The 26,659-nt window shown below is 45.2% G+C and overlaps 3 protein-coding genes across 21 annotated transcripts in view, besides 2 other annotated features; 1 reads left to right on the forward strand and 2 right to left on the reverse strand.

Moving 5' to 3' along the window:
• Window positions 1-2,865, reverse strand: part of MKRN2OS (MKRN2 opposite strand) — a 21,224-nt gene extending 18,359 nt beyond the window's left edge. For all 3 annotated transcript variants that reach the window (NR_165360.1, NM_001378008.1, NM_001378007.1), the window contains exon 1: window positions 2,623-2,865. The gene's annotated coding sequence lies outside the window, so the exon portion shown is untranslated. The remainder of the gene's footprint in view (window positions 1-2,622) is intronic.
• MKRN2 (makorin ring finger protein 2) overlaps window positions 1-25,579 on the forward strand; it is a 26,627-nt gene extending 1,048 nt beyond the window's left edge. Inside the window, exons 2-8 of one of the 2 annotated variants that reach the window (NM_014160.5) lie at window positions 10,741-10,869; window positions 11,937-12,118; window positions 13,935-14,239; window positions 16,658-16,872; window positions 18,497-18,607; window positions 23,674-23,818; window positions 23,982-25,579. In NM_014160.5, the coding sequence (NP_054879.3) occupies window positions 10,741-10,869; window positions 11,937-12,118; window positions 13,935-14,239; window positions 16,658-16,872; window positions 18,497-18,607; window positions 23,674-23,818; window positions 23,982-24,119 (1,225 nt within the window). In that variant the 3' untranslated portion in view covers window positions 24,120-25,579. The remainder of the gene's footprint in view (window positions 1-10,740; window positions 10,870-11,936; window positions 12,119-13,934; window positions 14,240-16,657; window positions 16,873-18,496; window positions 18,608-23,673; window positions 23,819-23,981) is intronic. The other variant, NM_001271707.2, reaches the window with a different exon arrangement.
• Window positions 2,638-2,817: an enhancer, noted in NCBI's record as "active region_19445". NCBI's record gives its function as "activates an Ori minimal core promoter by ATAC-STARR-seq in GM12878 lymphoblastoid cells {active_cell/tissue: GM12878}" and the evidence as "EXISTENCE:reporter gene assay evidence [ECO:0000049][PMID:35858748]".
• Window positions 2,998-3,087: an enhancer, noted in NCBI's record as "active region_19446". NCBI's record gives its function as "activates an Ori minimal core promoter by ATAC-STARR-seq in GM12878 lymphoblastoid cells {active_cell/tissue: GM12878}" and the evidence as "EXISTENCE:reporter gene assay evidence [ECO:0000049][PMID:35858748]".
• The window catches only part of RAF1 (Raf-1 proto-oncogene, serine/threonine kinase), an 80,517-nt gene continuing 79,324 nt past the window's right edge, over window positions 25,467-26,659 (reverse strand). For all 16 annotated transcript variants that reach the window (NR_148942.3, NR_148941.3, NR_148940.3 and 13 more), the window contains one exon: window positions 25,467-26,523. Coding sequence is in view for 13 of the 16 variants with exons in the window: in NM_001354695.3 (NP_001341624.1) it covers window positions 26,380-26,523 (144 nt within the window). In the remaining 3 variants the exon portion in view is untranslated. The remainder of the gene's footprint in view (window positions 26,524-26,659) is intronic.

Here is a 26,659-nt window from a genome sequence, read left to right on the forward strand (position 1 = left end):
ATTTTCTATGTTGTTACTTCTCTTCATTGGTATGAATAGTTGAGACGTGACTGTGTAGTAAGTTTTCTGTTAGCATTAGTGTACATTTACTGTTCAATTTATCCAAGGCCCAGGTGGCTTATGTTAAGCTGTTGTCAGAAATTTGCACCTAGTGTCTATAAAAAGACTTTTACTAGGTTATTTGTACTAGAAGGTGTTTTGTGAAGACGGGTTTGTGTGTGTTTACGTATTTTTATTTGTATAAAGTTTCTCCTGCTGGAGGAAGTATTCCTAGGTCATTGTGCACTGTAAAGCAGCTTGTAGCCTCCTAGAAAAACCTCTGTATTCCTCCCCTCGCTCTATGGTTTAATTCTACCATTTATTCCCGTACCTCATCTAAGAAGTGTCCACAAAACAGTACACATTTATGTAATAATGCTTTATAATTGAATCTCAACTCTGTAGTATCTTATTTTACAAATAAGGAATCTTATGCTCAGAAAGACTTGAAATTTGCCTAAAATTTTACACCTTAGTAGAGGCACAAGGACCTAAATCAGGATCATCTTGGTTTTTTCCTTGTATACCTGGAGATAGCTTGACTTGAAAGCTTTAATTCTGTTTCCCAAACAGGGGTGTTCTGTAGGATGTTGCTCCATATAAATGAAGATTGGGTTGGAATGTTGAGAAGGGATCACTTCTGTTTAAGTGTTTAGTCATGTTTGTTGGGGACTTACAATGTGCTGCGGCTCTTAGGTACTGTAGTGTATAATCCAGCAACCAGCGCTCTTCCACAGATCGTAAAACTGAGCCTCAGCATTGAAGCGACTTGCCTAAGGTCATTTAGCTTCCAAGTGACAGAGGTGTGAAATCAAAGTTCATGCCCTCATAGACTGTAGGGCCTCCAGATAAGTTTTGAAATGCTAAATTAAAATTTATTTATTGCAGGACTTATCAAAGCTTTTAATGTGTTCCCATGAAAGGAAACTCATACAAGGATATGTAAAACTGCAAAGAAGTTTACTCACAAAAGGGTGTAAAGGAGTCAGGGCTCCCGATGACTGCCTTGCCAAATAAAAAACATAACAGGTGTTTTAAGTGGGAAAAAACCAATATGACCAAGAGTACCAAGTTTACATTAGTGTGTTTATCTACCATCAACTTTTCTACCAGCTTATCTACCAAAAGCTTTTCTCACTTTATTATCTCATTAACAAAAGCCTTGTCTCTAGACATTGATAATTTATAGGAAATGTTCAAGGTATGATTTATTTTGGGGACCAGATCTAAGCAGCGTGTGCGGTTTTTTGTGGGTTTTGTTTGTTTTTTTGTTTTTTTTAATCTCAGGTCACAAAGTTTTAGGTTTGTTTTCCTGACTGTGGGATGTGATGTACATGTTTATTTTGAATGACAGCAGAATAATGTCAGTTTTGCTTCCAATCTGTTAGATATTATGTATCTCCAAGAGTTGCTTATCAAATGCTAGGAGTCTCAAACCTAATGACAAAGACACTCCATGTTTTTATTGCCTGGAGTGGTAAAAATGACTGCTCGTACAGTTATGCTGTCAGTCAGCTCTTCTGATTCCTTGACATGCCGCTCTATCCAGAATCTCAATCTGTGCCTTTTTGCTGATTCCCCTCCCCCACAACCATCTCCCTGTCTTCCAGTCTGTTTTCGGAGCCCTGGGGGAGGCCCTTATTATAGCTTAGTAACCAGTTTATTTCACCTTCTCCTCTTGTGATAGAGCTTCCCTGCATCTCATAATCACTATTAGAAGACACAGGATTTCATTGTCCTAAGATAGTCAAACCTAGGGGGCTTTTGATTCTTTGAAAGTCACAAAACATGGGGGATCTTTTCAGCTGGCAGGTGGTAGGAAGAGTTTGAGCCCCAGGGTTGGGCAGTTCTGGATTCTAATCCTGGTACCACCTGTGCAACAACTGCCTCATCTGTGAAATGAGGATGGTAATGCCTAACCGGCAGGGCTGTTTAAAAATTAAATAATAGCAACAAACCATTTATTTTGTATTAGGATGAGCACTTACATGCATTTTCTCAGTTAAATGTCCCAGTAGTCTATCATAGCAGTCTATGAAGTAAGTGCAGTTATTATAATCACATTACAGATGGGGAAACTGAGGCTCAGTGACTTAAATAACTTGCTTAAGCTCACATAGCAAGCAGTCTGACTTCAGTGTCTTCACCACCACACTGTACTTCATTTCATTCCCGCCTCTAATCAGTACATTTATTGCAAGCCTGCCACAGTGCCTACCATTTGCTTCCTTCCCCCTCAGTGGATCTGCTGTCACAAGGAGTATAGCCGTAAAATTTTAGCCTGTGAAAATATGTAGGAAAATGTAAAAAAAAAAAAAAAAAAAGACACTGAGGATGCAAATTACCTGTATACTTGGAAGTGATTTGCAAAAGCGTTTTGCTAAACAGGCAACATTCAAGGGCCTGTAAGAAACCAGATTGATTGTTTTGCTTAGCACTGCTGCTGCTGGAGCTGCTGGTGGTTCTGTGGCCAGCAGTGAACCTGATATGCTCTGCAGTGTATAATAGCCATACTGTCTGAAACAGTCTTTTGGGTTTACCCAGGGTAACACCCCTTTGGAGTGTCCCCCAGAAAGAACCTACCTGCTCTGAGTCTCCAGCTATGCACTTCACCCACCTAGTCGTCTCTCCCCTCCTCCAGTTCATGTCTCAGTCGTCTCTCTTGGAAGATATGAGGGGCGGTTTGTCCATCAGAAAGGTTGAGCAGTTGGAAATTCATTACAAAGCGCAACATGAAAGAGGCTTGGAGTAAGATCAGTATAACATAGATGGAGAGGAGTGACTATAAGCACATGACAGAGATGCCCCAAAGGACAAGCAGGATGTGCTCTAGGTGGCTTTGTGCTTGTCACTGGGGAGTGGAAATGGTGACATATGCTACAAAAATAGGACTGGGCTGACTTCACCTCTTACATAACTCTCATTTCATACTTTCCTTTCTTGAAGGCAGTGATGGTGGTCTAGAAATTATTTTTGAATCTGTTTAAATCTCAGCTCAGTCACTTACAGAAGTGAAGTGGCTTTTATGAAGTCACCAGCTTATAAATGGCAAAATTAACTAGAAGCTCTGGTTGGCAGTTAAATATTTGTATTTTAGTGGAAGAGATAATTAGTGCAGTTTGGAAGGCAAGTTTTCTGGATAGGACGTATGGAAGGCGGAGGTAGAATTATAAAAGGCATCCTTGCAGGAGACCACTACCTAAAAAAGTCTTTCTTCTTGTCTGCCTTGTTAACAAATAGTATCTGGTAGAGGGCCTGTGGTAGTCTTCCACCCTGGTTCTTTCAGGAAATTTTCTGTTCTAATTGCTTCAAAAGAAACAATACAGTATTGGCTGGTGCAGTGGCTCATTCCTATAATCCCAGCACTTGGGGAGGCTGAGGTAGGAAGATCACTTGAGCCCTGGAGTTTGAGACCAGCCTGGGCAACATAGCAAGATCCTGTCTCTACCCGAGAAAAGGAAAGAAACTATACAGTATTTATTCGATATCACTTTTGTTTAACTGCTTATGTTGCCACTTTGAACCTGTCCTCTTTCAGTATTTATGAGTTTACTAATCCTGATACCTCTTTGTCATTCAGACTTGGCTCTTGGCACTGACTTTTTTTTTTAAATTATTATACCTTCAAAGATTACCATGTCTGAGGACAATTGAAATATTGCAGTCTTGAGTAGCATTTCTCAAAAATAATTCTCAAACTGCTTAGATGTATACTCTACTTTTGTGTTTGGGATCTCCAAGACCACCCCAAATCCAGAGACTGTCTAGAACTAGGACAAGTGGGTCCCAGTATACAGCTGTATTCAAGGCTGAGATTATTACCATATCTAGTAAGGGGTCACAGCCAGATCATGATGGCAGAAGACATGGGGGGTCTGGAGGAGCCTGGGTGCAGGCTTCCTACATCTGTCCCTCCCTGAGAGGGCCACACAGCAATGAAAATGCAGCAACATGTGTCCAGGGAAGCCCATTAGGGATTCAGTGCCCAAGCTGGTCACATAGGCACCCTCTGCCTAGCATGAACCAAAATTCCAGACTCCCAGAAGGCAAGCAGGTTTTCAGCATGAACTACATTGTACATCAGTTTAGACACAGCGAGACACTCTCCATCATTTAGGGAAAATTTTGTATCTGTGTAGAGAACTGTTACTAGCCAAGTTCCCAGATGCCAGGCAAGGGGCAGCCTTGGAAGCAGACCTTCCTAAGGATAGCAGTCTCACATCTGCTGTGTAACTCTCTTCTGTGCATTTATAAAATCGGTATTGTAAATAACAGGAACTCTAAGTTTCTAACAAAAAGTTTCCCAGCTTCTGTTTGTGCTTTTTCTTTTTAAAAAATAAAACTTTAACAGCCTTATGGCAAATTACTGCACAATGTCTGATCTAGTGCAGTGGTCCCCAACCAGTCTATGGCCTTTTAGGAACCAGGCCACACAGCAGGAGGTGAGTAGTGGGCAAGTGAGCAAAGCTTTATCTGTGTTTATAGCCACTCCCCATCACTCACATTACCACCTGAGCTCCACCTCCTGTCAGATCAGCAGCAGCATTAGATTCTAATAGAAGCACTAACCCTATTGTCAGCTGTGCATGTGAGGGATCTACGTTGTGTGCTTCTTATGAGAATCTAATGCCTGATGAACTGTCACTGTCTCCCATGACCCCCAGATGGGACCATCTAGTTGCAGAAAAACAAGCTCAGTGTTCCACTGATTCTACACTATGGTGAGTTGTATACTTATTTCATTATATATTATAATAATAAAGTGCACAATAAATGTAATGTGCTTGAATCATCCTGAAACCATCCCCCATCCCCCCATTCCGTGGAAAAATTGTCTTCCATAAAACTGGTCCCTGGCTCCAAAAAGATTGGGGACTGCTGATCTAATGGTAGGCCACAAGAGGGTGTTTCCTGGGGAAAGCCTAGCTGACTACCTAGCAAAGGCTGTAGGATGGCACCATTGTATAGTCACTTAAGTCATGAGGTCCAGTTCTCATTTTGTAGGCTCAGAAATTTGATTCTGTTGGTGTACATAGAGGTGGCTCATACTAGCCAAACGCATGAGAGACTGACTTATATACTAGAATATCCTTTTATAATTTCCCTGGGAAAAAAATAAACTGTCAGGTAGGTCTGGTCAGCACTTCCTCTGCTTTTGGGGAGAGAAACAGGTGGAGAAGTCAGAGGTTTCTGATTGGGGCGGATGTGCAGCATGTTCACTAGTACCCTTTCTCTGGAGACACCAGCAGTCTGGGCCTCTCGGGCCTCCCTGGCATTCCTTGCATACCATTCCCTCCTGTTGTCTAGTTCTTTTTTTTTTTTTTTTTTTTTTCCTGAGACGGAGTCTCACTCTGTCGCCAGGCTGGAGTGCAGTGGCACGATCTCGGCTCACTGCAGCCTCCGCCTCCTGAGTTCAAGCGATTCTCATGCCTCAGCTTCCCGAGTAGCTGGGATTACAGGCACCTGCCACCATGCCCGGCTACTTTTTGTATTTTTAGTAGAGACGGGGTTTCACCATGTTGGCCAGGCTGGTCTTGAACTCCTGACCTCATGATCCGCCTGCCTCGGCCTCCCAAAGTGCTGGGATTACGGGTGTGAGCCACCACACCCGGCCAGAATCACCTTTCTTTTTAAGCTTGATTGTATGGATAGACCACATCTTGTTTATGCATTCGTCCATTAGCGCACGCTTGAGTTGCTTCCACCTTTTGGCTATTGTGAATAATGCTGGTATGAACACGGGTGTGCAAATGTTTGTTTGAGTCCCTACTTTGAAGTCTTCTATTTTTTTTGAAACAGATTCACTCTGTTGCCCAGGCTGGAGTGCAGTGGCGTGATCTTGGCTCACTGCAACCTCTCCCTCCCAGGTTCAAGTGATTCTCCTGCCTCGGCCCCCAAAGTAGCTGGGATTACAGGCGCCCACCACCACGCCCGGCTAATTTTTGTATTTTTAGTAGAGATGGGGTTTCACCATGTTGATCCGGCTGGTCTCAAATTCCTGACCTCAGGTGATCCACCCACCTCGGCCTCCCACAGTTCTGGGATTACAGGCGTGAGCCACTGGGCCTGGCCTGAATTATTTTGTGTCTATACCCAGAAGTGGAATTGCCGGATCATATGGTAAATATATTTTTAATTTTTTAAGGAACTTCCGTACTGTTTTTCTATAGAAGCTGCACCATTAGCTGTTTTATAATCTACTCTTCTCAGTTAATTGTGTTTAACTTTCCATATTAATAAATTTTCATTTTATACCTAGTCCATACTCACATTTATTTCAAAATATCTTTCAAAATATCTGGTTTCAAAAATGTCTTTTGTATCTGGTTTGTTGAAACCAGATTCTAGTCCAGAGGTAAGTATTGCATCTGGTTATGTCCCTTGTGTTCTGTCTGCTAACCTAGCATTGTCCCTTCCCTTTTTTCTCTTTTTTAACAGCTTTTTCTGAGGTATAACTTATATACCATAAAATTTACCTGTTTGAAGTGTACAGTGCAAAACTTTTTAATGAATTTACAAAGTTGTACAACCATCACCACAGTTAAATTTTAGGACATTTCTATCACCCCCAAAAGATCCCTTGTGCCCATTAACAGTCACCCTCACTTCTCTCCTCCCAACCCTAGGCAACCACTTAATCTACTTTTTGTCTCTGTAGATTTGCCTTTTCTGACATTGCATATAAATGGAATCATGCAACATGTGGTCTTTTGTGTCCAGCTTCTTTCACTCTGCGTAATGTTTTCAAGGTTCACCCATGTTGTAGTGTGTGCCAGTACTTCTTTCCTTTTTATGGCTGGATAAGAGCCCATTGTATGGATAAATCACATTTTCTCTGTCTGTTCATCAGTTGATGGACATTTGGATTGTTTCCACTTTTTGGCTGTTATGCATAGTGCTGCTTTGGACATTCATGTACAAGTATTTGTGTGGACATAGATTTTCATTTTCTTGGGTACATACCTAGGCGTAGAATTGTTGGGTCATATGGTAGATTTATGTTTACATTTTTTAAGAAACTGTCAAACTGTCTTCCAAACTCAGCCTCCTTTAGTTACATGGCACTTATAAAGACAGTAGGCCTAGGTCCCACGTACAGCCTCTTTTGTATTTATTTGGTTGTTTTCTCGAGATGTCTTTCATAGGTTGTCCCCAGTCTCCTGTATTTTCTATGAACTGGATGTTAGATCTGGAGTTTTGTGGATTCAAATTAATTGTTTCTGGCTAGAATACGTCATAGGTTGTTTTATACTTCATTTTGGGTCATATCAGCAGGTACATATTTAAGTTTTTTCCAAGTCGATTTTGGGTCCAGCATCATTTGTTGAAAAGATTCTTTCCCCAACTTACCTTTTTTTTTTTTTTTTTTTTTTTTTTTGGGAGACAGGGTCTCACTCTGTCACCCAGGCTAGAGTGCAGCAGCATGATCTTGGCTTATTGCAACCACTGCCTCCTGGGCTCAATCGATCCTCCTACCTCATCTTCCCAAGTAGCTGGGAGCACAGGTGCACGCTACCGTGCCTGGCTAATTTTTTGTATATTTTTTGGTAGAGACGAGGTTTCACCATGTTGCCCAGTCTCATCTCAAACTCCTGAGCTCAAGCAATCCACTCACCTTGGCCTCCCAAAGTGCTGGGATTACAGGCATGAGCCACTGCATGCGGCCTATGTGTGGTTCTATTTACAGGGTTTTTTGTTTGTTTTTTTGTTTGTTTTGAGACAGGGTCTTGCTTTGTCACCCAGGCTGGAGTACAGTGGTGCAAACAGAGCTCACTGCAGGCTCTCTCCTTCTGGGCTCAAGCAGTCCTCCCACCTCAGGCCCCCAAGTAGCCATCATGCACGGCTGATTTTTGTATTTTTTATACAGATTGGGTTTTGCCATGTTGCCCAGGCTGACCTCAAACTCCTGGGTTCAAGCAGTCCTCACACCTTGGCCTCCTGAAGTGGTGGGATTACGGGCATGAGCCTCTGAGCCCAGACTATTTATGGATCTTTAAAGAATCCCTGCAGCCTCCCTAAACTCAATCTCTGTGATTTGCCTGAGGTTCTACTCCCAGTACCAAGACCTAGAATATGCCTCCAGGTAGGAAGTCAGACTAAATGTGGGGCTTACTTCCTGTGTTTCCCTTCTCTTAAGGACCAGTCCTTTTTTCTATTGTCTGAAAGCAGTTGTTTCACATATTTTGTTTCATTTTTCAGTTGGGTTTGTTTTGTTTTGTTTTGTTTTTTTACAGTGAGAAGCCAAGATCCATGCTCCTTGGTAGTCAGAAGCAAGTTTGTTTCTCTCTCTCTCTCTCTCAGATGGTTTCTATTCTGTGTCTTCAAGTATTCTGATATTTTCCTTTGTAGTATCCCATCTACTAAACTCATCTAATGTAATTCTCATTTCAGACATTGTATTTTTCACTTCTAGAAGTTTCATTTGTTTTTTGTTTTGTTTTGTTTTGAGGTGGAGTTTCGCTCTTATTGCCCAGGCTGGAGTGCAATGGCGCGATCTTGGCTCACTGCAACCTCCGCCTCCAGGGTTCAGGTGATTCTCCTGCCTCAGCCTCCCAAGTAGCTGGGATTACAGGCACCTGCCACCACACCTGGCTAATTTTTGTATTTTTAATAGAGATGGTGTTTCACCATGTTGACCAGGCTGGTTTCGAACTCCTGACCTCTGGTCATCCACCCACCTCAGTCTCCCAAAGCGCTGGGATTATAGGCGTGAGCCACCACACCTAGTATTTGGTCTTATTTAAATCATCCATTTCTCTCCACATTATGTTTATGTTTTTCTTTAAATCTTTCAGCATATTGAGCATATGTATAATAGCTGTTCTTAAGGTCTTATTTTGCTGATTCCATCATCTCTGTAATTCCTGTTCTTTATTTTTCTCCTGGTTATAGGTCACATTATTTTCTGCTTTTTGGCATATCTAGTAATTTATGATTGGATGCCAAGCATTGTGAGTTTCTGAGCATTTGGATTGTATTGTCTTCCTTTAAAGTTTGTTTTGGCTGACAGTAAGTTATATACTTGCTATCAGCTTGTGTTTTTTTTTTTTAAGCCTTATTAGGGTGTGTCTAAAATACTTCTACTCTAACACTAGTTTACTTTTTTTTTTTCTTTTGTGAGACAGGATCTTGCTGTCACCCAGGCTAGAGTGCAGTGGCACAATCATGGCTACTGCAGCCTTGAACTCCTGGGTTTAAGCAATCCTCCTGTCTCACTCTCCTGAGTAGCTGAACCACAGGTGCATACCACCATGCTAGGCTAATTTTTAAATTTTAGGGTCTCCCTTTGTTGCCCTGGCTAGTTTATCTTTTTTTTTTTTTTTTTTTTTTTGAGACAGAGTTTTTGCTCTTGTCACCCAGGCTGGAGTGCAATGGCGCAATCTCGGCTCACCGCAACCTCCACCTCCTGAGTTCAAGCGATTCTCCTGCCTCAGCCTCCCAAGTAGCTGGGATTACAGGCATGCACCTCCACTCCTGACTAATTTTGTATTTTTTTTAGTAGAGACGGGGTTTCTCCATGTTGGTCAGACTGGTCTGGAACCCCCGACCTCAGGTGATGCGCCCGCCTTGGCCTCCCAAAGTACTAGGATTACAGGTGTGAGCCACCACACCCAGCCTAGTTTATCTTTAATATCAAGACATGTTCATCTAGGGTCTCTACTGTTTGAGTATTCACTCAGGTCTCTCTACCCTGTCTGGACAGAGTTAGCCTCCCAGGTATTCCTGTACCACTTATTCTTCAAGGCCAGGATCTGATATCTCAGTGGAATATTCTGATACAGAACATGTGATACATCTGATATTCTGAAACATCTGAAACAATGTATGAGAAACAGCTTTCATTAAAAACTACAAGTACCCATACAACCTTTCTGTTTCTCACTTTCAGTACGGTGTTCAATAAATTGCATGAGATTATTCTACACTTTATTGTAAAATAGATTTTGTGTTAGATGATTTGGCCCAACTGTAGGCTGATGTAAGTGTTCTAAGCATAAGTAAGGTAGCCCAGGCTGAGCTAGGAGAATCGCTTGAACCCGGAAGGCAGAGGTTGCAGTGAGCTGAGACTGTGCCATTGCACTTCAGCCTGGGTGACAGAGAGACTCCATCTCAAAACAAAAAACAAAAAACAGTGGCTTTATTGGGATGTAACTCCATCATTAGTCAAGGAGCATCTGTGTATATCTTTTGATACCACACTATGGTATTTGATCCTCACCACGACCAGTTAAGTGGGTAGTATAATCTTCATTTTATAGGGAAAGGTAGCAAGGCCCAGGGAAGTTGGTTTTGTGACATGTTCTTAAGTGGCAGAGCTGGGTCTTGAGCCCAGATCTTCTGGTTTCGTTAGTCATGCCCTTTAAGCTCCTTGAGAACAGAGAGAACAGTTTTTCACAGAGTGTTTTCTCAATTATGTGGCTCACATTGAACATATCTCAAATCAGGAAGATATATCTTCACATAGAAATATATGGGATCATTTGTTTTTCTTTCAGAAAAGCTGTCATTGAATCAGTTGTAGTGCCTCTGAAATCACTGTTGTAGAATCAAGGAAATATATAGATCTCTCTCCAGTGCCTAATAGAGCCTTTATACATAATATATGCCTGGTAAATGTTTGTATGCTAAGTTCAAGAATAAGCTGATTTTATAAAGCAAAATGTGCTTCTAAAAGTTGTATGCCTGTGCTTGTCTCTGCAGGTATTTTATGCATGGTGTGTGTCGGGAAGGAAGTCAGTGCCTATTCTCACATGACTTGGCAAACAGCAAACCGTCCACCATCTGCAAGTACTACCAGAAGGGCTACTGTGCCTATGGAACTCGGTGCAGGCAAGGACTCTGCAACAGATTCCAGCTGTGACACTGATTTCATTTGGAGAATGGGTCTTGATAAGGGGGAAATTTTAATGTAAAAGTAATATGGCAACATCACAAAAAGTATGGCAAATAAGTTTAAAACCTCAGTTTCAGTACCCTAAAACTAATTTTCTTTTCTTTTTTTTTTTGAGATAGAGTCTCTCACTGTTGCCCAGGCTGGAGGGCAGTGGTGCGATCTCAGTTCTCTGCAACCTCCGCCTCCAGGGTTCTCCTGCCTCAGCCTCCCAAGTAGCTGAGATTACAGGCATCTGCCACTACGCCTGGCTGATTTTTTTTTTTTTTGTATTTTTAGTAGAGATGGGGTTTCACCATGTTGGTCAGGCTGGTCTCTAACTCCTGACCTCGTGATCCTCCCGCCTCAGCTTCCCAAAGTGCTGGAATTACAGGCGTGAGCCACCGTGCCTGGCCTAATTTTCATTTTTTAAAACTACTTTTCAGCCTTATTCTTATGAATATATAGTTATAAAATTGTACACAATTCCGGAAACTTGTTCATGCTTTTGTAGCAAAGAGCCGATCTTTTCTTTCTAGACTGCAAAGCTTCCTTCCCTCCTTTTTCTCTGCAGTGCAGTGGGAGATGATGGAAGTAGGCCCACGTTGGTCTTCCCCTGTCAATGAGTGCCAAGAGAGACAGTCAGGGAGAGATCATTGGCCCTTGTCAGCATTTTGGGGACTCCTGCTCAAAAGAATACTGGGTCAGTCAGGCATCAGGAGATTTTAGCTCAACATCTGTTTGGAACTTTCAGGTTCTCTGTGTGGTCTGGTGCTGTGTGTCTGTCCCACTCAAGTCCCACAGAGACACTTAAGCATAGGTGATAGATAGCAAATGTCCCCCTCACAATGAATTGCCAAGCATCTGTTAATAATCGATAATCCTGTTAGAGTTTAAATATTGGAAAAGATGGCCGCCTTCTTCACCTCAACAAGTGCAGCAGAAGGAGGGCCATTGGCATCTGGGGAGTGTGGGAGATGTGTGTGGGTGGCATGTCTGTAATGCATCTGCTGTGTGTTTTGTTTAGATATGACCACACGAGGCCCTCTGCTGCAGCTGGAGGTGCTGTGGGCACCATGGCCCACAGTGTGCCCTCCCCAGCTTTCCACAGTCCTCACCCTCCTTCCGAGGTCACTGCATCCATTGTGAAAACTAACTCACATGAACCCGGAAAGCGTGAAAAGAGAACATTGGTTCTTAGAGACCGAAGTGAGTAAGCGGAAGCCTTTTGTTGCGTCTTTTTGCATAGCACTCTTGTTAATGCTTGGTGCTCCTTTCTAGCCTCCTCTTGTCAAGAGGACTCCTAACCTAATACACCTCCAGATTGTCTGCGCGGAGAGACTTCAGAACTGTTCTGAAGAGGCTCCATGTGGCTGCAGATCATTCAAATGATACATTCGCCCTCGTGCCCAAGGCTGGGTTGAGCTCCAAGACTGGCCTGGTAAAACATAAAAACACAATCTTTTTGTCAACATGTAACTTCCATCTTCATATGGTGGTTGTCCAGCTGGTGAGAAGCATCAAGCTCTTCATTTCAAACGTAAATATTTTGTCTGGGTAAAGTGGCTCACACCTATAACCCCAACACTTTGGGAGGCTGAGGCGGGTGGATCACCTGAGGTCAGGAGTTCGAGACCAGCCTGGCCAACATGGTTTAGTAGAAACCCTGTCTCTACTAAAAATACAAAAATTAGCCGGGTGTAGTGGCAGGTGTCTGTAATCCCAGCTACTTGGGAGGCTGAGGCAGGAGAATTTCTTGAACCCGGGAGGCAAAGATTGTAGTGAGCTGAGATCACGCCACTGCACTCCAGCCTGGATGACAAGAGTGAGACTCCCTCTCAAAAAAAAAAAAAAAAAAAAGAAAACTAAATATTTTGCTAAAGAGCATGTTTCACTGTTTGACTTTTAGGCCAGTGAATGGTCTTAGTTTTTATGCTGACAGTGTTTGACAGTTTAGATTGCACCTTTGGGAAAAGAATAGCACACTAGGGTTTGGGGCATGGTCTGTGCCTTAAAACAGGGTTTGATGAGGAAGAAAGCTACAAATTGTAAAAGTTTTTTTGTTGTGTTTTTTGTTTGTTTTGTTTTTGTTTTTTTTTTGGAGATGGAGACTCGCTCTGTCGCCTAGGCTGCAGTGCAGTGGCATGATCTCCACCTCCCGGGTTCAAGGGATTCTCTTGCCTCAGCCTTCTGAGTAGCTGGGAATACAGGTGCCCACCACCATGCCCAGCTAATTTTTGTATTTTTAGTAGAGACAGTGTTTCACTATGTTGGCCAGGCTGGTCTCAAACTCTTGGTCTCATGATCCGCCCGCCTCGGCCTCCCAAAGTGCTGGGATTACAGGCAAGAGCCACTGCACCTGGCCATAAAAGTTGTTTTTATTGGCTGGTCCTCACCAGGTGAAGAGATTTCTAGTTCTTGGAATTGGCTACCATGAGGTAGGCAGATTCTGTCCTCAGCAAATGAGTAATCCTGTGAGAATACGTGACCTCTAAACAAGCTCGGAGGTGTGCAGTGGGAAGGCAGCAGCTCCTGGCGTGAGAAGGGGTGACCATGGGGCAGTTTACACTGGCCTCAGGACCCACAGATTTGCTCTAGACATCTATTCTAGTTCACTTAAAATGATTTTACCTTTGCTGGTATGAAGGAAACACTGTGTTCTAGTGCTCTCACTGTTTTTTTGTTTGTTTTAGTGTTAACTGGTCCATGTGTTAACATTTCCATATTTGCCATTTTAAACGGCTTTAGTGTTCTTTTGTATAAGTATATCCTATTGTTTTGCTATTTCCCTGTCTTGCCATTTTTGTTTTTTGTTTTTTGTTTTTTTAAGTAATTATAAGTAATGTCACTATGAACATTTTATACTATTCCTTTTATTTTTCCCCTTCGGTGTGTTTTTTTTGCCATATGTTCTCAAGAGTGGAATTCTTAGGTCAGAGTAGCTTAATATGTTAGGCTTTGGCTAACGGCATACCAGAAAAATGGGGCCATTTTCATGTGCATGTGTGCTGTGTGTTGTTTTCAGATCTCTCTGGCATGGCTGAAAGGAAGACCCAGCCGAGCATGGTGAGTAATCCAGGCAGCTGCAGCGACCCCCAGCCCAGCCCCGAGATGAAGCCGCATTCCTACCTGGATGCCATCAGGAGTGGCCTTGATGACGTGGAGGCCAGCAGCTCCTACAGCAACGAGCAGCAGCTGTGCCCCTACGCAGCTGCTGGGGAGTGCCGGTTTGGGGATGCCTGTGTCTACCTGCACGGGGAGGTGTGTGAAATCTGTAGGCTGCAAGTCTTGCACCCATTCGACCCAGAGCAGAGGAAGGCTCATGAAAAGGTAAAGTCACAAACCTTTGCATGAACTCATGTTAAGAAATCTGAAATGTACTGAACAGGACACGGAAGGCCATCCATATACACTCAAGAAATCTGAAATGTACTAAGTGACAGAATTGTTGGTATTTCCACAGGCATCCCCCTGCCAGTAATACCCATATTATGTATCTGGTATATTTACATCCTGTTTTCAGGTTCTTTTTCCTGCAGTCATTTTGCCATTTTTTTTTTTTAATGGAGTCTCCCTCTCACCCAGGCTGGAGTACAGTGGTGCAATCTCGGCTCACTGCAACCTCTGCTTCCCTGGCTCAGGTGATCCTCCTGCCTCAGCCCCACCGAGTAGCTGGGATTACAGGCGCCCACCACCACACCCGGCTACTTTTTGTATTTTTAGGAAAGATGGGGTTTCACCACGTTGGCCAGGCTGGTCTCGAACTCCTGACCTCAAGTTGTCCGCCTGCCTTGGCCTCCCAAAGTGCTGGGATTACAGGCATGAGCCACCATGCCCGGCCTATTTTGCCAATTTTTAATTACTCAGAATAAAGAGAAAAAGAAGTCGTATCTGAAATATAAAATCATGCTAAGTTCAAAGAACAGATCTAGCTCAGGACCATGGTATGTCGTCTGTGTGTATGTCTCTATCACATGCAGATACAGCATCCTCCCTCCCTGGGTTCACACTTCCTCATGGTTGGGATCCAGCTAGGTGAAGTTTTGGAAGATTTGAGCCCAAATCATAGAATCTGAGGAGCCACTTGTTGGAAGGGCCTTTTAAAGTCATTAATGTCTGCAGTGTTTTGGGAGGCTTTGCCTTATGCTAGGCCCTATGCATGATGCAGAGGGTACGAAGCTGGATAAGAGGCGGGGGAGGGCCAGGCATGGTGACTCACACCTGTAATCCCAGCACTTTGGCAGGCCAAGGCAGGCAGATTGCTTGACCCCAGGAGTTTGAGACCAGCCTGGGCAACATGGTAAGATCCCCGTCTCTACAAAAAAAAAAAAATACAAACATTAGCCAGGTGTGGTGGTGCACACCTGTAGTCCCAGCTACTCGGCAGGACTGAGGTGGGAGGATCACCCGAGCCTGGGAAGCAGAGGTTGCAGTGAGCCAAGATTGTGCCACTGCACTACAGCCTGGGCAATAAGAGTGAGACCCTGTCTCAAGAAAAATAATAATAAAAAAATTTAAAAATGCCAGGTGTGGTGGCTTGGCTAACTTTTAAAATTTTATTTTATTTTGGCTGGGCACAGTGGCTCACGCCTGTAATCCCAGCACTTTGGGAGGACGAGGCAGGCGGATCACAAGGTCAGGAGATTGAGACCATCCTGGCTAACATGGTGAAACCCCGTCTCTACTAAAAATACAAAAAGTTAACTGGGTGTGGTGGCGGGCGCCTGTAGTCCCAGCTACTTGGGAGGCTGAGGCAGGAGAATAGTCTGAACCCAGGAGGTGGAGCTTGCAGCGAGCTGAGATTGCACCACCGCACTCCAGCCTGGACGACAGAGAGAGACTCTGTCTCAAAAAAAAAAAAAAATTATTTTATTTTTCAGAGGTGAGGTCTTGCTATGTTGCTTAGGCTGGTCTTGAACTCCTGAGATCAAGCAGTCCTCTTACCATGGCCTCCCAGAGTAATGGGATTACAGGTGTGAGCCACTGCACCTGGCCTAAGGCATGTTTAAATGGACAGCGTATTCCTAGATAATCAAGAGGTAAATTAGTACTGACTCCATGTGGCAGCGGACAAGGAGACACTCTCCATTGTCTTCCAGGGAAGCAGAGGGTTAGAGCTGTCTTCTTTATGCAAGTGTGTGAGGTCTCTGCGGTGAGTGTTGGCTTGTCTCAGATCTGGACAGACTGAGCTTACAAGGGCTGGGCCTAGGTCTTCTCACTCTTGCTCAAATGCCAGCACATAGAAGGAATTCAGGGCATGCCTAGTGAATGAATGAATTCATTGAATCATTTTCTTGGGGAGAAGTGGTGCTTCTTACATAGGACTAGGCTGCCAGCCTCAAGCCTCATGGTAAGGACGAGTCAGCATCTCTGATGTAGACATGGCTCAGAGTCGGGGGAAACAGTGCCCAGAGGAGCTGGGGGACTAGGGCCGCAGTCCTTACGGACTCTGACTCCACTGCAGTTTAACCTTTTTGGATCTCCGTGTTCTCAGTCCTAAATGGGTGGTGACCATGTCACCTCCTAGGAAAGCAAGGGGCTGGACCAGTGATGGTTTGAAGTCCTTTGTGTGGTCTGAGGGAGATGTCAGTGTCCTGACTTGGGGGAGCCTGGGCCTTTGCTCACAGCAGTCGCTGTCAGTGTTCCTTCCTGATCTCAGCTGTGGCAGTGTGGCTGCAGCTACTCCTAGGGCTCCTGCCACTCCTCAGTGGCCCACAACCAAAGCCTTCCTTCCTGTCTGTGCTTCAGATCTGCATGTTGACGTTCGAACACGAGATGGAAAAGGCCTTTGCCTTCCAGGCAAGCCAGGACAAAGTGTGCAGTATCTGCATGGAAGTGATCCTGGAGAAGGCCTCTGCTTCTGAGAGGAGATTTGGGATTCTCTCCAATTGCAATCACACGTACTGTTTGTCCTGCATCCGGCAGTGGCGGTGTGCCAAACAGTTTGAAAACCCAATCATTAAGTAAGTACAGCCAGGGGTCTTAGCTGTGGGAGCTAGGAGAATGTTTGATTTGAGACTTTATTCCGTCCACTTTTAAGCCCTCCGTTACCCTCAAGAGTAACTGGTGAGTTCTGGCCCCTGGCTGCATGAACTTCAGCAAGTCATTTACTCTTCCTGAGCCTAAGTGCCTGTTCCTATAAAAGATGGGCAACAATTCCTACCAAGCTTTCTGGGTGTTGGGGAGGAACTCAGCAAAGATGATCTGTGTAAAAAGGTGTTAAATGGCACTGACCTGTTTTCATCTCCTAGCCTTGTGTTTGAAATCCAGTAGTACCTGCCTGTAGCCCAGTTGCCTGTTAATCATTTTGAGCTTCGTTTTTTCCCCCCACCAAAAACGAAAATAGGGTTATTTGAGGATGAAGTGGAATAATGCATGTAAAACATTCTGCATGATGCCTGGCACATGGGATGTGCTCAATGTGGCCAACATAGGAGTCTCAAATTCTCCAGCAGGACAGGGGAAGAGCTGGCATGTGGAGAGGTTACTGCACGCGTTCTACTGTTCAGAACTCCACATCTGTCCGCTCATCTCATTCCCTCAAAGACCCTCCTCAGTTACAGATTAGGAAACAGGCCTGGGGTGCGGGGGTCAAGTAATTTGCCTAAAATCGTGTGGTGAAACAACTGCTCTATTGAGATAAAAGCCCACAATTTAACTCACCACTCATCCGCTTTCTGTCTCTACAGAGTTGCCTATTCTGGACACTTCTTATAAATGGAATCATAGAATTTGGGGCCTTTTGTGCCTGGCCCCTTTCACTGAGCATAGTGTTGTCAGAGTTCATCCCGACTGTAGCATGTGCCAGAGTCCCCTTCTCCTGGCGGAATATGTTCCATTGTATGGACGCAGCACATTTCCCTTATCCATTCCTCAGCTAGTGGACATTTAGGCTGTTTTAACTTTGCAACTATTATGAATAATGCTGCTGTCAACATTTGTGAACACAGCATGTGGGCATGTGTTTTCATTTCTCTTGGGTATACACCTGGGCGTGGGATTGCTAGGTTTTATGGTATAATAACTCTACATTAAACTGTTGGAGAATCTGCCAGACTCTGTTCAAAGTGGCTGCACCCTTTTACATTCTCACCAGCAATGTATGAGGGTTATTTCATCTGTCTTTTTTGTTGAGGAAACCATATATGTGTGTGTGTGTGTGTGTGTGTGTGTGTGTGTGTGTGTGTATTTTTTTTGCTTTAAGTTCTGGGGTACATGTGCAGAATGTGTAGCTTTGTTACATGGGTATCCATGTGCCACGGTGGTTTTCTGCACCTCTCAACCCATCACCTAGGTTTTCAGCCATGCATGCATTAGCTGTTTGTGCTGATGTTCTCCCTCCCCTTGCCCCTGCACCGACAGGCCCCGGTGTGTGATGTTCCCCCACATGTGTCCATGTGTTCTCATTGGGAAACCCTATTTTGTTAATAGTAAATAAGGTTCTTGGATGATTGTGATTTCATCTTTTGGAATTTCTGGTGAAGGAAATGCCTGTAGTGGTGAGGCAGTTGAGCAAGAGGTTTAGCAGAGAGTGTGCCCAGGCTTCGTAACATGACTTCTCCCTTAGTAATCTAATTCTTATTTCAGGTCTTGTCCAGAATGCCGTGTGATATCAGAGTTTGTAATTCCAAGTGTGTATTGGGTGGAAGATCAGAATAAAAAGAACGAGTTGATTGAAGCTTTCAAACAGGGGATGGGGTAAGTGCTTTTGAGTTTCGACGTGCCCCTGCTGCCTGCCTGGCTCTGCTGTCAGCCCGTGTCCTCGTTCTCCTTCCCAGGAGTGTGGTCTTAGGGGCCTCTTCCTCTCTTCCTTCTCTCAGGCACCATGCTGGGCTCTGGGATGCAGCAATGAGCAAGGACATGGTGATGTGGACCTGTTTAGTTTTGGTGTTTTTTTTTTTTTTTTTTTTTTTTCGGTGAGATAGGGTCTCACTCTGTTGCCCAGGCTGGAGTGCAGTGGTGCAATCTCAGCTCACTGCAGCCTCAGCCTCCTGGGCTCAAGCAGGAGCCTCTTGAGTAGCTGGGGCCACCAGTAGTGTGCGCCACCATGCCCAGCTAATTGGCTAATTTTTTTTGGTAGAGACAAGGTTTCGCCATGTAGCCCAGGCTGGTCTTGAACTCCTAGGCTCAAGTGATCCTCCTGCCTCGGCCTCCCAAAGTGCTGGGATTACAGGCATGAGCCACCGTGCCCGGCCTCAAATGTTCCTCTTTATCCTGGTTGTCAGCATGTTGATATTTTGCCTAGGAGTGGAGTGGTTTTTCTCTACGCTTATGTCACTCCCCAAGATGAGCGAAATTTTAGCTATTGTTTCATTAACTTTTTTTCTGTCTTGTTTTTTTCTTTTCCTGCTGGGACTCTACTTCCGTTTATGATAGTTTTTTTATATTGTTCATAGATCTCTGGGGATATTCATTCTTTTTCAATCTTTTTTTCTTTTCATCTCCTTGAACATAGTTGTAGCAGCTACTTTGAAATCCTTGTTATCTTGAAGTTGACCTCTGTTGTCTTTTAAGAATGGATCACATTTTCCTGATTCTTCGTATGTCTAGTAATTTTAGATTTTATCCTTGACATTGTAAATATTACATTGTAGAGAGACTTAGGATTCTGTTATGGTTTATCTGTAAAGTGATGATTTTTTTTTTTTTGAGACGGAGTTTCACTCTTGTTGCCCAGGCTGGAGTGCAGTGGCACAATCTCGGCTCACTGCAACCTCTGCCTCTCGGGTTCAAGCGATTCTCCTGCCTCAGCCTCCCGAGTAGCAGGGATTACAGGCATGCACCACTGCACCTGGCCAATTTTTTGTATTTTTAGTAGAAACGGGGTTTCACCATGTTAGCCTGGCTGGTCTCAAACTCCTGACCTCAGGTGATCCGCCCACCTCGGCCTCCCAAAGTGCTGGGATTACAGGCATGAGCCACTGCGCCTGGCCAAGTGTTGCTGTTTTTAACAGGCAGGTAAATTGTTTGAACTCAAACCCAGGTAGCAGTTCAGATCTCAGTTCTGGTTTTGCATTCGTAGCTGACTTTGTCGCATTCCTGTGTGGTTTGGGAGTTAGTCAGATTTGGGCAGAGTTTATACACAGCCTTTGAGCACTTTTTCACAGGCCCCTTACTTTGTGGGATTGCTTCCTCACTTTCCAATGGCTGTGATTTCCTTGAACTCTTGTCTTTTAGTTCTTCAGGCCAGAAAGATTGGATTTCCCCTTGGAGTTTTAGCCACCCCATGTGGTTATGATTTTGGCCTGCTCCAGGATAAGAGCTACTTCTTTTTTTTTTTTTTTTTTTTTTTTTGGAGATGGAGTCTTGCTTTGTAGCCCAGGCTGGAGTGCAGTGGCACAGTCTCAGCTCACTGCCACCTCCGCCTTCCAGGTTCAAGCACTTCTGCCTCAGCCTCCCAAGAAGGTGGGACTACAGGCGCATGCCGCCACGCCTGGCTAATTTTTGTATTTTAGTAGAGACAGGGTTTCACTGTGTTTCCCAGGCTGGTCTTGAACTCCTGAGCTCAGGCAATCCACCTGCCTCGGCCTCCCAAAATGCTGGGATTACAGATGTGAGCCACAAAAGCTACCTTTTTTAAAAAAGGTAACTTAGCCTTTGCCATTGCTATTCTTCTTTGTGTTTACTCCTCCAAAGAATCTAACTGCGTTTGTTCATTCTCTGGTGCCTTCAGGTCTTCTTGAAATATTTGTGTTAAGACTTATCTGCAGGAGGGTTGGGTATGGCAGGCGTTTACTTGTCATACTAAAAGTGAAACTATGCATTACCTTTTTTAATGGTTCCTTTATGTTGCATATTAGTTTACTAAAGCTTGATTTTTTTTTTTTTTTTTTTTTTACCATTTTTTCCTCATACAATCTTCCTGTGTGTCCACAAGAGGGCAAGGCGTGGCAAGCAGAGGGGTCCCAGCTTGTAGAAAAGGGCCCCAGCCTGTAGAAAAGGGTCCCAGCCTGTAGAAAGGGGCTCTGCTGAAAAGCAGTCTGGAGATTGTTATTGCTATTTGGATCTTTCCTTGCTTTGCTTTCCTTTAATGACTGTGTTTTTTGCAATCCACAAACATTTACTGAGTACTCACTATGGGTCAGGTACCTTCTAGCTAAGCACCACTGGGGGATGTAGAGATTAGTAAGACAATTTCTTTTTTCTTTCGAGTCTCGCTCTGTCACCCAGGCTGGCAGTGGCATGATTTCAGCTCACTGCAACCTCCGCCTCCAGGGTTCAAGTGATTCTTCTGCCTCAGCCTCCCGAGTAGCTGGGATTACAGGTGTGCGCCACGACACCCAGCTAATTTTTGTATTTTTTTAGTAGGGATGGGGTTTCGCCATGTTGGCCAGGCTGGTCTTGAACTCCTGGCCTCAGATGATCTACCCACCTCAGCTTCCCAAAGTGCTAGGATTATAGGTGTGAGCCACTGTGCCCCGCCAAGTAAGACAACTTCATGGGAAACTGCAAAAGGGCAATTATGATACAGGTTTGCTGGTGACCAGTTCTTCATGAGGGACCATCTATCACAACAGAGAAAGCACTTGGATCCACCGGGGGCTGCCAGGGGAAGCAGCATGGGAGCCTGAACCATGAAGCAGGAAGCACCTGTCTGTAGGGGGAAGTGATGGAAGGACATGGGCACAGAAGGGTGTAGGTTTTGTGTCTGGGGGACACTGGGAGTGGCTCCTGGCATTGAAACAGGTGTGTAGAAGGATGTGGTGGGACCTACAGACTGGAATCTAAGGGACACTTGAATCCCAGTGTGACCATGGTCTTTAAGAACAGGTTGGGGCCAGGCGCAGTGGCTTATGCCTGTAATCCCAGCACTTTGGGAGGCTGAGGAGGGCAGATTGCTTAAGTCCAGGGGAGACATAGGGAGACCTCATCTCTTTAAAGAAAAAAAAAAGGTTGGGAAGCTCCTCCGTGCTGCTCTGAAGGTGGAAACTGGTGGGAGTGGGAGGGAGGCCAGTGAGGAAGTGGCCCTGGCAGGCAGGCCCCAGAGGCTTCCACAAGTGTGGGAACCCAAAGGAAGGGGAGATTGGGAAGTGATTTGTAAACAGAATGAACACAGTTGGGTGTGAGAGCCGAGGACACAGAGTGAGTCAGAGTGAACTGGAGGCTTTTGGCCTTGGTGACCAGATAAGCCTGGGGGAGGAAAAAGAGTAATATTCTTGTGAGAGTGGGGGACCAGTATATAATGTGTTTGACCTGATCGAGTTCATAGCCAGTGTGCTAGGATGCTCTGGAGTTGTCCAGCAGGCTCTGGTGAGAGCAAACTGCTCACGGTCATTTGAAGTCCGCTCAGAACTCCAGGCAAGCAGGGGCCTGGAGGATGTGTCGTCCACACACCTGCTCTCCAGCCACCTGTGCTCAAATCAGATCAGCTGGCCAGGGAGCTTGTTCTCTCTCCCCCCACCCTACCCCCCCGCCACCACCCCCAGTGAGACGAAGTCTCACTCTGTCTCCCAGGCTGGAGTGCAGTGGCACAATCTTGGCTCACTGCAGCCTCCACCTCCTGGGTTCAAGCAATTCTCCTGCCTCAGCCTCAGCCTCCCGAGTAGCTGGGATTACAGGTGCCAGCCACCACACCCAGCTCATTTGTGTATTTTTAGTAGAGATGGGGTTTCGCTGTGTTGGCCAGGCTGGTCTCAAACTCCTGACCTCAAGTGATCCACCCACCTTGGCCTCCCAAAATGCTGGAATTACAGGTGTGAGCCACCACACCCGGCCAGAGGGCTTTTCTTTATGCTGCTATGAAGCCGTCCTCAGAGAACTTCACCACCGGCCTGCGGCCATCCCATCTGACAAGACGGAAAACCACTGGATTCAGGAGCCTCCTTTCCCTGTTCTTGTCTCCCGCTGTCACACACCCCAGCTGCCCCTGACAGCAGCGTGCCCTTTCTGTTGTTTGGCTTTATTTCTGTGACTTTCCCCTTCCTCTGTACTCCGAGATGGCCCTCTGGATTCTTGGGTATCTTTTTTTTTTTAACTTCAGTTTGGGATCCTTTATGATTGGATAAACCAGAGTTCATTTGAGCAAAATGGGAATTCATTTGATTGAGTTTCCTTGGGCAGGGTTCTTAACATAGAGGTCTGTGGGGAGAATGGTAGAATTAAGAGAGAGGGAAAACATTTTGAACTGTTTGGTCACTGTATGCTGTAGACCCATGTTTTATGCATTGAAAAACACTGTTCAGAGAAGGGGTCCAAAGCACATAAGGCGTGAAGAAGCCCTCCCTGGTGCCGAGGTTGGAGACAGGAAAACTGGAAGGAGACCTATGGCTTTAGGCAGTTGCTAAAACCCTCTGCTTTCCCTGTAGCCACCTTGACAGCACTGCGGCCAGGAGGAAGGGGAGAGTTGGCTTGGTGGGGTACCTAGGGAACTTTGAGCAGAGACAAGTGGCCCAGCTTCAGAGCTTAGTGCCCAGAGGAGTGACCAGGCCTGGCTTAGCTCTGTGGTGACCCAGGAGGTGCTCTGGAGCTGCCGGAGGGCCTGTGGAGCACTGCAGTCTCCACACAGCAAGTCCCCAGGCAGGTTAATATCCTTTGCAAGGCTGCAGGTAAGTGGGGATACTTCCTATCCTGCTTGGAAATCAGAATCCCAGCTGTGTGTGACCTGAGACAAATCACTCAACCTCTCCCAGCCTCAGCTGCCCCACCTAGAATGTGAGGCTGACCTACCTCTGGCGTAAGGGTGGTAAGGATGGAGGCAGGCAGTGGCCCAGTTTGGACCCCTCATTTTCCCACCAGCCTCTTGACTTTTTCTTTCTGCTTTTCAGGAAAAAAGCCTGTAAATACTTTGAGCAAGGCAAGGGGACCTGCCCATTTGGAAGCAAATGTCTTTATCGCCATGCTTACCCCGATGGGCGGCTAGCAGAGCCTGAGAAACCTCGGAAACAGCTCAGTTCTCAAGGCACTGTGAGGGTAAGGACTTTAGCCATCTCTAGTTGGGGACACTTAGCAGCTGTGGGCATTTCCAGGTACCGTTCCTGGCAGAGAAATGGGGTAGGCAAAAGAACGATCAAGGAACGCAGCCTTCCTGTTGCTCTTAGCAGTAACCAGGCATGTCCACTGGCTGTTTTTGCAGTTCTTTAATTCAGTGCGGCTCTGGGATTTCATCGAGAACCGAGAAAGCCGGCATGTCCCCAACAATGAAGATGTCGACATGACAGAGCTCGGGGACCTCTTCATGCACCTTTCTGGAGTGGAATCATCAGAACCCTAAAGAGTAGATGGTTGCCCTGCATCTTGGGCTCCATCGGCCGAAACTTTCCCAAGCCAGGGTGTGCGGAGCTTCCCTGTACTGCAGCCAAGGTGACGTGTGACTTGGATTTGAGTGGAGTTGGGCTTAGCCTTAGTCTCATTCAATCTCCATTATTACAGCCATGGGGAAGAGTGAAAGATATAAAGTAACCTAATTAAATGTATGGAATTGCTATTTTTATAGCTGATATAGTTACACCTCAAGCCCCTCAGGGGTAACAACTAACAAACACCCAAACTGTTTGGATTGATTGCTTTAAAAAACAAACCTGGCTCTTACCTTTGATCTTTTCTTCCCCAGAAATAGTAAACTTGCAGCTGCCCCTAATGCAGCATATTTTTCTTACCAAAGGAGTCTTCAGCCCTATAAAAGGATTCCTCTATAGTGTATTTCTCTAGTGTATTTAGTGTGTCGTCAAAATTTTGATTTATACAGAGCTTTCAAGAACACACAATGCAAAGTGAGCGCAGCATAGCTGTTAACAAACATACAACTTTTTTCTAGGGCTTTAAGGGTGGTCATTTTTTTCAAGTTCTCTCAAGTGTCCCAAATCAGGGTAGCAATCTTGTTGCCACATGTGCAGCAAACAAAGTGGAAGTATAGATCTTCTTCTCCCTTAGGGAGGCTCTTGAAGGAGCAGGAGGTACAGTACTGGGTAGCAGTCTGGCCCTCCTGTCGTCTGGTTGGTGTTGGGGCCTCCAGCCAGGGCCCTCTAGGGGAACCAAGCCTCTGCTCTCACCTGTGGGTTCTTGCCCATCAGGGTAATTGTATTGAGAACTCAAATATACGTGCACTTACATGTGTGGTTCGTACTCAAGTGATCTATTATCTAGCTGCAAAGCCTGGCTTTGATTTGAAATTTTGTAAAAATTTCATGGCACCCAAGGTTTCTGATTCTGACCCAGCAGTGGTCCTGAAGAGAGCTGATGGCAAGTCTTGTAGTCATTTTGATTTTAATTGAAGGGTGAGCATAACCTTGTGAACCAGCACTAGCTTGTTCCAAGCTGGAATTTATCTAATCTATTTTTGTGTTTAAAAAAGCTGTACCTACCAAATAAATAAATAGTTTATAAAATGTATTACTTAAGGTATTAGCTGAGTTTAGAGTACTTTCTGCTTAATTAATTTTTATACTTAACTCTTCAGTAGAGGTTTACAAAGAGTACAAAGGTTAAATTACAAATTCATTCCCAGCCTAGGCTCTGGGCACATTTCCTGTTCTTGAATTCTGCTCCTGAAGAGGGTGAACAAATGGGGCATTCAAGTTGTGAGCTCAGAATTACTTTAAAAGGAGGTAACAGCCAGCCATTACACCTAAATTTAATTTATTTTATTAAAATAACATAATTGAGGGACCATCAGATAACTGTATTTTGTCAGGTGCAATAAAAACAAAATTAAAACCCAAATCATCAAGAAAACCTGTATTCCTGGCTTCCTTGTATACACATGATGTGACTAGAGAAACAAGGCTGTTTGTTTGTTTGTTTGTTAGAGAAACAAGGCTGGCCCTGCGGCCCCGCCCCATAGGGGCAGCTCCTGGAAGACAAAATTCAGCATGATGGAAGACTGCTCCCTGAGAGGGCTGAGATGCGGATTGGCCGAGTGCCTTGCCTGGAAAACCATCCCAATGCACTGGACACCTTAGAAGCTGTGAAAGGAGGACGTGTCCCCTAAGAAAAGTTCCATAGTACCAAAGCAGGCTCCTTCGGGCGGCCAGAGTCTCGGCAGTCCTGGGCTGTTTGGTGCCTTATGTGCAAAATGTCTGGCGCTGCACCACTCTCTGAAGAAAGTCCCGCCTGTGACATGCATTCCTCCAGAAGCTGATTTCCAAAATCCCATGTGTCTCCACATCAGGGCTGGACTGCCTGCTACCTTACTTCCTCTAAATACTCATGTAGCCAACAGCTGGGGCTGGGCCCCTGCTTTTTGTACTACCATCAACATCCACTTGCGCATCTACAGAAGGCTGGGCCTTGAGCATGGGGAATGTGGGGAGGGAGCAGGACACACCAGCACTGCAAATGGCTTCCTTCTCCCAGGGCCCAAAGGGATAGAAAAGAAGGCAACATGAAGTTAAGGCCCTGTGAGCAGTCTAGAAGGTCCTTAGCAGCAGCTTCTCTGAAAACATGTGTTCTGCCTCTGGAGAAAGGGAGCAGAAAAGTGGTGCCTGCTGGCTTCTCCTCCTCCCCTGGCAGCCTGAAGACAGGTGCAAAGTCAACTAGAAGACAGGCAGCCTCGGGGACGTGGTCAGCGTGCAAGCATTGATATCCTCAGTGTGGGCTGCCCGATGCAAGGATGGCTCGGAAGCGCTCCGGTTGATCTTCGGTAGAGAGTGTTGGAGCAGCTCAATGGAAGACAGGATCTGAAACAAAGCCCAAGAATGCTCTCATTAGCTGTGTCTCAAAGACACAGGATGTACCCTGCCCCCCACCATCTTGTAGAGGACCTGGGTCCCCTCCCTATAAAACAAAACAAAACACTCCCACCTTATATTGCCA

This window comes from Homo sapiens, chromosome 3 (genome assembly GCF_000001405.40).
Source record: "Homo sapiens chromosome 3, GRCh38.p14 Primary Assembly".
In the NCBI taxonomy this organism is placed as follows: domain Eukaryota; kingdom Metazoa; phylum Chordata; class Mammalia; order Primates; family Hominidae; genus Homo; species Homo sapiens.